The sequence below is a fragment of the Homo sapiens genome, chromosome X, assembly GCF_000001405.40.
Source record: "Homo sapiens chromosome X, GRCh38.p14 Primary Assembly".
Lineage (NCBI taxonomy): Eukaryota > Metazoa > Chordata > Mammalia > Primates > Hominidae > Homo > Homo sapiens.
In genome coordinates this window covers 142,300,846-142,311,625 of record NC_000023.11, presented here as the reverse complement: position 1 = coordinate 142,311,625, position 10,780 = coordinate 142,300,846, and positions in this window count along the sequence as shown.

The window sequence follows — 10,780 nt, the reverse complement described above, 5'->3', positions numbered from 1 at the left end:
TTCCTCCCCTGAGTGATACAAAGCCCATCTGTTTTTCAGGAATATCGTCAGTTTCTATGTCAATAGTAGTAGTAAAGATGCTGGTCACACTACCTATTTCACAGCTGTTAGCTTCTTAGTAAATACATCGTGTTTTGTATTTGTTTTCAGCCTGTTGAGGATCTGTTCAGATCTCATTAGTGCTTTTTTTTCTTTCTCCAAAATTATAGTGCCAGAAATGTGCTGCATGATACAATGTAGCAAATACAATCACTTGGTTAACTCTGGCAGGCAACTGAGATTGTGGGATAAAAAACAGGATATTCACTCAGCAAGAGTGAGTAGCATGAAAAATACAGATTTCCATTTTTGAAACCTGGCCCAAGAACACAGAAAGGGTTCCTATAGATAGGATTCTGATGCTACAGGCCCTGGAAAAGCTGCAGGCCATGGCATGCTCATACAAAATGGGTCTGGCCTTGCTGTCCTCAAAATATGCACTGTTTTCTGAAGATGAGTTTATTTTCTAGGTTGCTCATACAAGACTCTGGCAATCTGGAACATCTTCAAATTAAAAGTATTTTAATGTTTGTAGGATATGTGTGATAATTTAACTCCTGATATTTGTAATTTGTCTTGTTTTCTTGATTAGTCTTACAAAGAGGTTAGCAATTTTGCAAAGAGCCCATTTTTGCCTTTGTAAATTTTCTTTATTTTACATACTATGTCAATTGTTTGGGGTTATTTCATGGCCCAGCATATGGGCTATCTTGGTGACTGTATCATGGGCAATTGGAAAGAATATGTTTACATTTATTGCACATAGGATTCTGTAAACATTGATTAGTTTAAAGTTGATTTAAATTTGCTTGACTGTGTTATTCAGGTCTCCCATATTGTTACTGATTTTTGTCTACTTTTATCAATTACTGAGAGAAAGGTGCAAAAATCCCTAGCCAAAATTGTAACTGTTGATACTTCTAACTTGGTCGGCTTTTGCTTTATAAAGTTTAATTCTCTGTTACTAGATATATACATGTTTATGACTTATTACTTCCTGATGAACTGTTCATTTTAGCACTATGAAATCTTTCTCTGTATCTCGTAAAACACTGTTTTAATTTTTCAGATTTTAACATAACCTCTCCAGCTTTCTTACTCTTACTGTGTACACAGTACGTATTCCATTTTATTTTCCTTTTTTAACTTTTATTTTAAGTTTAGGGGTACATGTGCAGGCTTGTTATACAGGTAAACTCATGTCATGGGGCTTTGTTGTACAGATTATTTCATCACCCAGGTGTTAAACCTAGTACCCATTAGTTATTTTTCCTGATCCTCTTCCTCCTCCCACCCTATACCCTCCAATAGGTCCCAATGTCTCTTGCACCTCTCTGTGTGTCCATGTGTTCTTATTACTTAGCTCCCACTTATAAGTGAGAACATGTGGTATTTGATTTTCTGTTCCTACTTTAGTTTGCTAAGGATAATGACCCCAAGCTCCATCCATCATCTCATTCTTTTTGTGGCTGCATAGTATTCCATAAGTGCATGTGTACCACATCGTCTTTATACAGTCTACCATTTATTGGCATTTAGGTTGATTCCATGAATAGTGCTTCAGTGAACATTAGTATGCATATGTCTTTCTGATAGAATGACTTATATTCCTTTGGGTATATACTTAGTAACAGAATTGCTAGGTCACGTGGTTGTCGTGTTTTTAGGTCTTTGAGGAATTGCCGCACTGTTTTCCCCAATGATTGAACTAATTTACAGTCCCACCAACATTGCACAAGCATTCCATTTTCTCTGAAACCATCCCAGCATATGATACGTTTTGACTTTTTAATCATAGCCATTCTGACTGGCATGAGATGGTATCTCATCATGGTTTTGATTTGCATTTCTGTAATGATCGGTGATGTTGAGCTTTGTTTTTCATGTGCTTGTTGGTCACATGTATGTCTTCTTTTGGGAAGTGTCTGTTCATGTCTTTTGCCCACTGATTAATAGGGTTGTTGTTTTTTTTCTCATACATTTGTTTAAGTTCCTTATAGATGCTGGATATTAGACCTTTTTCAGATGCATAGTTTGCACAAATTTTCTCCCATTTTATAGGTTGTCTGTTTATTCTGTTGATAGTTTACTTTTCTGTGCAGAAACTGTTTAGTTTAATTTGATCCTGCTTGTTAATTTTTGCTTTCGTTGCAATTGCTTTTGGCATCTGTGTCATGAAATTTTTGTCCATTCCTATGTCCAGAATGGTATTGCCTAGGTTGTTTTCCAGGGTTTTTATAGTTTTGGGTTTTACATTCTAGTCTCTAATCCATCTTGAGTTAATTTTTGTATATGGTGTAAAGAAGGTGCCCAATTTCAATCTTCTGCATATGACTAGGCAGTTACCCAGCACCATTTATAGAATAGAGAGTCCTTTCACCATTGCTTGTTTTTGTCAACTTTGTCCAAGATCAGCTAGCTGTAGGTGTATGGCCTTATTTCTGGACTCTCTATTCTGTTCCATTGGTCTATGTGTCTGTGTTTGTACAAATACCATGGTCTTTTGGTTGCTATAGCCCTGTGGTATAGTTTGAAGTCAGGTAGTGTGATGCCTCCAGGTTTTTTTCCTTTTGCTTAGGATTGCCTTGGCTATTTTGGCTCTCTTTTGATTCCAAATGGATTTTTAAATAGTTTTTCCTAGTTCTGTGAAGAACGTCTTTGATAGTTTTGCAGGAATAGCGTTGAATCTGTAAATTGCTTTGCGCAGTATGGCCATTTTAAAGATATTGATTCTTCCCATCCATGAGCATGAAATGTTTTTTTCCATCTGTTTGTGTCATCTGCTTTTTTTTTTTCTTTGTGCAGTGGTTTGTAGTTCTGCTTGTAGAAATCTTTCACCTTTCCAGTTAGCTGTATTCCAAGGTATTTTATTCTTTCAGTGGCAATTGCAAATGAGATTGTGTTCTTCATTTGGCTCTCATCTTGGCCATTATTGGTGTATAAGAATGATCATGATTTTTGTACATTGATTTCATATCCTGAGCCATTGCTTGTCAGCTTAAGGAGCTTTTGGGGTGAGACTATGGGGTTTTCTAGGTATAGAATCATATCATCTGCAAACAGGAATAGTTTTACTTCCTCTCTTCCTATTTGGATGCGCTTTATGTCTTTCTCTTGCCTGACTGCCCTGGCCAAGTACTTCCAACATGATGTTGAATAGGAGTGGTGAGAAAGGACATCTTTGTCTTTTGTGGGTTTTCAAGGAGAATGCATCTAGCTTTTGCCCATTCAGTAGGATGTTGGCTGTGGGACTGACATACATGGCTGTTATTATTCTGAGGTATGTTCTTTCAATACCTACTTTAGTGAGAGTTTTAACATGAAGGGATGTTAAATTTTATTGAAAGCCTTTTCTGTCTCTGTTGAAATATTCATGTGGATTTAATTTCAATCTACTTCTGTCTTTAATGTCTCTTTTGTTTCCTATAAGTAATTTCTTATTAGGTCTTAATTTTTTATCAAATCTGAAAATCTCTGCATTCTAATTAAAGTGTTTAATCAATTTACTTTAAATGGGATTGTTGAAATCATTGGATTTTATTCTGTGATTCTGGTATATTTTTCCACTTTGCACATCTCTTTTTGATTTGCTCCTCTATTGCTCTTTTCTTCTCATCTTTTGCTTGAATTAAATTTTTTACATTCCGTTTTATTTTGTACATTGTCTTCATGGATATACCTCTTTTAATTTCTTTAGTGACTTTACTAGGATTAATTATATGTTATCTTAATCTATCAAAGTCTAATCAATATTGCAACACCAGCCAGGCATGGTGGCTCACACCTGTAATCCCAGCACTTTGGGAGGCCGAGGTGGGCAGATCATGAGGTCAAGAGATCGAGATCATCCCGGCCAACATGGTGAAACCCTGTCTCTCCTAAAAATACAAAAATTAACTGAGCTTGTTGGTGTGTGCCTGTAGTCCCAGCTACTTGGGAGGCTGAGAATTGCTTGAACTGGGGAAGCGGAGGTTGCAGTGAGCCAAGATTGTGCCACTGCACTCCAGCTTGGTGACGGAGCGAGACTCCATCTCTCTGTCTCTTTCTTTCTTTCTCTCTCTCTCTCTCTATATATATATACACATATATATACACATATACATATATACGTATATATACACATATATACGTATATATATATATACACACATATATATGGATCTCAACATCATACGTCATATTTTATACCTTCGCTTTCATGGTTACTATTTCATACTTCCCACTTTTTATTTAACAGCAGACATTTTACACTTCCCCATTTCCAACTTCCCACTTCACATTGCCAAGTAGCACTTATGGAACATTGCCACACAGACTTCAGGGACCTTCCTTTGCACATCTTTCTCCTTTCTTGTTGCCTGACCTGCAGAATCCAGAAATTTCAGCTGCCCAAAATTCGAATCTCTGTATCCTGAGATTAGATACATGAGCAAGACTAGCTCATGTTTTGCTTACACCTCAGTTCACTGCACTGTTTTTGAAAAATTGCTCCAGTCAATGAATGGGGATGTCCTGGAACTCAGTTATATGCTTAGCACCTCTAATTATCACAGTTATCTAGTTGGCAATACCTGAAAAAAGTTTCCTCAAAAAATTTGTTTAATTTCTTTTAATTGTTTATATTGGGAGAGCTATTACTAGTTACCATCATAGCCAGAAACAGAAGTCTATTTTAGCCAGAGAATTTTGAAGACTTTAAAAAAATATATGATCTTTGTCTACCTCCTTTTTGCAATAGACCTAACAAAATAGAAGACTAAATTTTAGTAGCAGAAAAAAAGATTGAAGTTTTTTCAAGCCTATAGTATTTAATGTCTTTAATAAGTAAAATATAACTATATTTATAGATTCATAAACACATTTTAGATAATATTATAATTAGATTATATTAGAACTAATCTATTAGATTAGATTATATATGTATTAGATTACTTCATAGTTAAGAAATCTTGCTGCTATCCTCTTAAGCCTGCTACTCACCCTGTCTGATGCCCAGATTTTTCTATGCTTTTTCTGGTTAAGAGTGATAATATCTGAGGTCTCTTCCCGGAAATCTTTAGAATTAAGCAAAATAACCTCTAAAATGTCCTCAGAGACATAATATAAAGAACACTATTTTACAATGTTACCATGATCTCCTATTGATATGAAAGATATAGAGTTTCTGGGCTTAAAGACACTGTTAAAACTAAAATTGTTCTCATATCACATTAAAAAAATAAAGTTTCTTAGTGCATGTCTCTACTAGGCAGTTCTGCAAGTTGACCATATAATACTTACTGTGGAAAGCAATTAGAAATTCAGATGCTAATCAGTACAGCTTAACTTTTAAAAAGCACACAAAAATTGAGGAAGGGCTTGTTAACTTTCTTTCTTTTTCAGATAATGAAATTTCATAGTGACAGCTCAAGTCATTTTTACATTACATAGAATTGGAATGAAATGGGGAATTTACCTTTGCTGTAGCATTAAGAATGGTATTCTGTCATAATCAACTTTTACAAATACTGATCTGACTAGAATAAATCACCTATTCATTATTACATTAGGAATAGCTCTGACTCTGGCCCAATATGATAGCCTTAAGCCAGTGCTTATCCATGATTGCATTCTTAAATGTTTTCCTAGCAAATACCATGGTGTAGCATTCACTGTGCTACAATAGAAATACACTATGTGCTTTATATGGTATTTCAGAGCATCATAGTGCCAAACTATATGAAGATAACTGGAAATATACGTCTTGGGCAATTTCCCCAGACGACTGGAAATTACTAATCTTTGTGACAGTTTCCATGTTGGTATATCTCTTCGCTGGTGTGATTTGATACTCTGATCATGAGTTGCGAGTTATAATAATAACAACAGGCCGGGCGTGGTGGCTCAAGCCTGTAATCTCAGAACTTTGGGAGGCTGAGGTGGGCAGATCCCCTTAGGTCAGGAGTTGGAGACCAGCCTGGCCAACAGGGTGAAACCCCGTCTCTACTAAAAATACAAAAAAAATCAGCCGGGCATGGTGGCCCATGCCTGTAATCCCAGCTACTCGGCCGGCTGAGGCAGGAGAATCACTTGAACCTGGGAGGCAGAGGTTGCAGTGAGCCGAGATCACACCACTGCACTCCATCCTGGGCAGCAGAGCGAGACTCTGTCTCAAAAAATAATAATAATAATAATAACAACAACAACAATAATTGTTAGCTACTAATAGCATTCTAATTGAGATTTTACTTAATCACTTTGCATTTTGTTATGTAATTTGCATTTGTGTTGAGCTTTAATCACAGTTACCATCTTGGAAAGTAGGTACCACTCAATGCTCAAGTAACATATATTATGAGGAAATTGAAGCTCAGGGAAGTTATATGACTTGGCAACATTCACACAAGTTAGAAGAAATAGATTTAAGACAGAAACCCAGGACTGTGTGGCTCTAAATACTAAACATTTAATGATTTAATTACACTACTTCACTGATAGGGTTTGGATGTGTCCCCACCCAAATCTCACCTTGAATTGTAATAACCCCCACACATCAAGTGTCCTGACATGTGGAGATAATTGAATCATGGGGGCAGTTTCCCCCATACTGTTCTCGTAGTAGTGAATAAGTCTCATGAGATCTGATGGTTTTATAAATGGTAGTTCTCCTGCACAAGCTCTCTTGCCTGCAGCCATGGAACCATGTAAGATGTGACTTTGCTCCTCACTCGCCTTCTGCCATGATTGTGAGGCCTCCCCAGCCATGTGGAACTATGAGTCAATTAAACCCTCTTTCCTTTATAAATAACCCAGTGTCAGGTATGTCTTTATTAGCAGCATGAGAACAGACTAATACACTCACTTATTTTTGCATAGTAGTATTTACTCATTTATGTACGATTTCCACATATGCTGCCTTGCTGCCCCCTTTTAATCTTCATATAAAATCTCTGAGACTTGATGCAAAAAACTGGAAAATTCAGACTTGATCAAGGTACAAGAGCAATTAAGGAGGAGAGCCAGAAATCGAACACAGTTTTGTCAAACGACGGGCCAGGTGCTCTTTCCAGTAATTCATATTATCTCCCTGATATCAGCCTTTCGAGGCTTTTTACTCTAACCCATAAACCTCTATCACAGTTCATTCTAGCATATTTTCTCTAGAGGAAATCAGAAGAATTGAGTTCCAGGGTTAAGGGGGTGGACTTCCATCACAGTATATTCTTCAGGCATAATTTTAGCTTAAACATAGAATTGTTAATACAATAAAATGTAAAGCCAACATTAAGACATTTTGTCCTCATCCATCAAATGTATGATTAATTAGTTCATGTATTCATCCACATAGACCTCTATTTAGCGTATGTTTGCTATGGTTTGAATTTGTTCCTACCAAAACTCATGTTAAAATTTTATTCACAAAGTGGCAGTGCTTGTGTTGAGACCCAGTTGGAGATGTTTAGGTCATGGGGGCAAATCCCTCATGAATGACTTGGTGCCATTCTCATGGTAGTGAGTGAGTTCTCACTCTGGCAAGACTGGATTAGCTCCTTTGAGAGTGGGTTGTTATAAAGCCAGGATGCCCCTCAGGTTTTGTCTCTTTGCACACCTCCATTTCCCCTTTGACCTTCTCTATCATGTTAAGATGCAGCAAGAATGCCCTCACTAGAAGCCAAGGCCTTCAACTACCCAGCCTGCAAAACCACTAGTTAAATAAACCTTTAAAAAAAAAAAAATTACCCAGTCTCAGGTATTCTGTTATATCAACACAAAATGGACTCTGACAGAAAATTGGAACTTTTGGAGCTGGGTGTTCTATAAAGATACCTGAAAATGTGGATTCAGCTTTGGCATTGGGCAATGGACAGAGGTTAGGAGAGTTTGGAGGAACAGGCTACAAAGAGATCACATTGCAGTGAATGGAATATTAAGAGCTCTGGTGAGGACTCGGAAAAAGGCAAAAATACCAGCAAAAGTTTGGAAGAGATTGCTTAATTGGTTTTGACCAAACTGCTGGTAGAAATGTGGACAAAAGTAAGGGGTATTTATTCTGAAACCGGAGCAAAGATCACCCTTGTTAAACAGTTGCAAAGAACATGATTGCATTGTATCCATCCCTAGGATATTGAGAAAGGCTGAACTCAAGAGGGATGAACTGGGATACCTGCTGGAAGACATTTCTGAGCAGGAAAATGATCAAGAAGTGGCATGATTGCATTGACTAGCTTATGCTCAGTCACGGCAGGAAAGAAATGAGCTAACAGCAGAATTTATAATTAAAAGGAAAGCAGAGCACAAAAGTTTGAAAAATTCACAGCCTGGCTGTGTGGTAGAGAATCAGTGTTTCCAGGAGAGAAATCTAAAGGTGTGGCCTATGGATTGCTTGCTAAAGAGATTAGCAAAACAGAAGAGCAAGCCAGGTGATAATTGTTAGAAAAATGGAAAAAAGGCCCTGAAGGCATTTCAGAGATCTTCAAGGTTACCCAATCCATCGCAGGCCCAGAGGCCTAGGATAACACATTGATCTTGGGGAATAGGCCCAGGGTGCTGCTGCCCTGCCCATCTTTGGATGCTGCTCCCCCATCCTCGCCTCTCCAGCTAAAGCAGCCATGGCACAAATGGCCCCAGGTACAGCTTGGCTGTTGCTCTGGATAGCACAGACCGTAAGGCAGCTTCCATGTGTTGTTAAGTCTGCAAGCCCACACAATGCAAGAGCTATTGAGGTGGGACTTCCTCTACTGCGATTTCAAATAATGTATAGAAAAGCATGCAGGCCCAGGCAGAGATTTGTCAGAGGAGCAGAGCCACTGCAGAGAACCTCTACTAGAGCAATGCTAAGCAGGAATGTGAGGTGTGAGGTCAGAGCTGCCACAGAATATCCTCAGGATAATGTCTATGGGAGCTACAGAGAAGAAGCCACCACAGGGACCCCAGAATGGTAGAGCCACTGGCAGCATGTAACATCAGCCTGTAAAAGTTGCAGGCGTTTGACTTTAATCCACGAGAGTAGCCATGTTGGCTGCATGAAGCAAAGCCATGGGAGTGGGGCTACTTCAGGTCTCGGCAGTTCAGCCCTCACATCAGTGTGTTCAGGAAGTAGAACATAGAGTCAAAGGAGATTATTCTAGAGCTTTAAGATTTAGTGTCTGCCCTGCTGGGTTTAGGACTTGCATGAGGACTATGATTTCTTTATTGTGGTCAGTTTCCCTGCTGGGTTTAGGACTTGCATGAGGACTATGATTTCTTTATTGTGGTCAGTTTCTCTCTTTAGAATAGGAATGTTTATCAAATATCTGTCCCACCATTGTATCTTGGAAGTAAGTTGCTTTTGATTTTACAGGCTCATAGCTGGAATAAGTCAGCCTTGAGTCTCAATAAGGTTTTAGACTTGGGACTTTTGAGTTGGAGCTGGAACAAGTTAAGACTTTTAGGACTATTGTGATGGAAGAATTATATTTTCTATGTGAGAAGGACTTGAGTTTGGGGGGACTAGAATTAGAATGCAATAGTTTGGATATAGTTTATACCCACAAAACCTCATGTTGAAATTTGTTCTCCAATATGGTAATGCTGGGAGGTGGACCTAGTGAGCAGATCCCACATGAATGGCTTGGTGCCACTCTTGCAGTAGTGAATTCTCGCTCTAGCAAAACTGAATTAGTTCCCATGAGAGTGGGTTGTTATAAAGCCAGGGTGCCTCTTAATATTTGCCTCTTCACAGGTGCCTGCTTCCCCTTTGACCTTCCCATACTGTTATGATGCAGCACAAAAGCTCTCACCAGAAGCCAGCGCCATGCCTTTGAACTTTCTAGCCAGCAGAAGCATGAAGAAAATAAACTTTTTATTCTTTACACATTACCCAGCCTTGTGTATTTTGTTATAGCAGCACAAAACAAACTAAGGCACCAACCTTGTCCCAAATGTTCTAGCAGTTACTGAAGCAAAGTTACTCTAGATGAAGAGACCAATAGGAAAACAGAAAGTTACATCATGCAACCTGTGATATATTAAAATATATACTAAGTGTATAAGGCATATAAAGGAAGGTGTAATTACAGCTGATGGTGGATAGGAATGTAGGCAATCAAAGGAGGCTTCACAGAAGATGTGATGTTTGAACAAAATTTTAAAGAGTGAATTTAATTCTCACAGGTAAGGAGGGTAGGCATATATTGCAGGTAAAGAAAATAGAATTATTAAAGGCTTAAAGATTAAAAAATTTATAACACATTCAGGAACCCTGTATAATCTAATTTCCATGGAGTAAAGAAATGTATCTAGGAATGAAAAAGATGAACCTGGATATGAAGATTGCTAACAGATGGTGAAGGACCTTGGCAGTCATGTTAAGGAGCCTGAATTTTATATTGATGCAGGAACAATGGAAATGACATGATCAGATCTGTGTTTCTGCTGGCTTAAATGGAAGTGTGGAGTTTTAATTACCCAGGGGAAACAGTGAAGGCAGGGAGACAAATTAGCAAACTATTCCATGTATCCAAATGGGATACAATGAAAGCCTGAATTACCAAAGTGGTAGTGGAAGATTTGAGAGATGGTGAAATGGTGAGTTTGGCAGGAATTATGATAGGCTGAATGAGGGGAAAGAAAGAAAAGGATTCTGGAATTCCTTGCAGTTTTCTGGTTTGGGTAACAGGGCAGAGATATTTCTCTTCAATGAAATGTTAAATATCAACTATTCCCTTTGTGAATAGTTAAACAAATTAGGGTACCCATACTATATTTTGTATAAGGAGAGTGA